Source organism: Homo sapiens, chromosome 3, assembly GCF_000001405.40.
Source record: "Homo sapiens chromosome 3, GRCh38.p14 Primary Assembly".
Classification (NCBI taxonomy): Eukaryota; Metazoa; Chordata; class Mammalia; order Primates; family Hominidae; genus Homo; species Homo sapiens.
In genome coordinates, this window is record NC_000003.12 from 42,301,582 (window position 1) to 42,303,483 (window position 1,902).

Here is a 1,902-nt window from a genome sequence, read left to right on the forward strand (position 1 = left end):
AACACCCAGTTTCCCATGAGTCACTCAAAAATGAATTCCTGAAGTGGTCTTTAAATCTGTGTTCTCACATCCTGTTCCAACCAAGCCTAAACTATGTGCTTCTCTACTTGGCAGTAAGGATCTAAAACAAGGCAGAGGGAATGACATCAGGGTGTAGGGTTTCCTTCTCTTCTGCTTTTCTTTGAGTTTAATAATTTTGCAGAAGGTATGTCTCCTCCTTTTGGTATGAGGTTAGAACTGGTTGAATACGCCCTGACACTATGGAGTCACTGGGCTCCCATGAAGGGTCCTGATGGGAGTGGAACCCAGATGGGGGATGTGGCAAAATACTTTACTCATGACAAAGAATGGTGTCTACATCACCAGATTATTGTGGTGTGCGTGTGAGTAGGTGGGGACACACACATGCACACACTGTTCTTTTTCCCTTTCTTCTCCCATTATTGCCTCAGTAGTTGGTAAGTTTTGGATCTGTGTTCCCACTCAAATCTCATGCCAAATTGTAATTCCCAGGGTTGGAGGTGGGGCCTGATGGGAGGTGACTGGATTAGGGGAGGTCTCTAACGGTTTAGCATCATCTCCCAGTGCTGTTCTTGTGATAGAGTTCTCATGAGATCTGGTTGTTTAAAACTATGTAACACCTACTTGCTCTCTCTCTTCCTCCTGCTCCAGCCATGTAAGACATGCCTGTTTTTCCTTCACCTTCCGCCATGATTGAAAGTTTCCTGAGGCTTCCCCGGAAGCCCCTATGCTTCCTGTACAGCCTGCAGAACCATGAGCCAATTAAACCTCTTTTCTTTATAAAGTACCCAGTCTCAGGTGTTTATAGCAATGGGAGAATGGACTAACACAGTGATACTAACAAGGAGGTAGGCTGGCTGTGCCTCAGAGTCAGGAGAAATGGGATGCAATTGTGCATGGACTTGAGAAAAGCATTTGATAAAAACACAATTCTTAGCATAGCACAGAGATGTACAATGTGTATTAATTAACATTTTAGGAGTTGTGGATATTAACTTTCATTGATATATAGTGTATGTTTCATAATACTAATGCAGTCTGTTAAAAATGAGGTTTCAACAACGGTTTCAGGTTTTCAGGAAAGAAAGGAATTATGGAAACTTTTTCTGGTGTGTCTTCCTGCAAAAGTAGGTCTCATTACTTCCACTGACCTTGAGAGAACAGATTTGGCGAGATCAGAATACTTGCCAAAGGCCACACAGTAAAATGGCAGACTGGGGACCAGGGAGGTGTGAGGTTCAATGGTAAAAGAAAGGCCCAGCATAAGCTAGACCTGTTTTTGAGTCACAGGGAATTTTAGCTAGTGTCCCTGTGAATCAGAAGCAGGTCTAGCATGTCTCCTCTTTCTCTTGGATAGAATAGTACTAAGAAAGGAAGAAGGATAAAGAATCTCAAGTTGTGGACTTTTAGAGAGACCAAACCTCAAACTTATCACAGAAAGTGATTATGTAATAGGTTCCACCATTCTGTCATGAGTATCTGTTATCATATATCTAAGTCTCACAGGTCAAGGCAAGAATGGTGATATTTTATTCATCAGTACTTCCCTCACCCTCAGAGTGGTTTTCTGTTCTGTGAAGGTCAAGGTTTCTCTCCACTCTGAAGAAATTAAAAGCTGCCATCGTGATTTTCCTGTGAATGGGGAGGGCAGGCCCATGGCCTTTCCTCCTGCTGCAGAAGGAAGATAGCAGAGGCAGAGGCAGGGCATTCGCCTTTCCACCAAAGCTGAATCTTTTTCCTCCAGATGAATGAGAACTATGGGAGTTCACAAGAGAGAAAAGCTCTGTGACCCTCCAGGTGGCAGGAAGTGGAAGAGGGGTTTTTTCTTCAGACAACAGTCTTTCTGATCGGGCATGCCAGCTCTTCCTGTTCCTCTTTTTA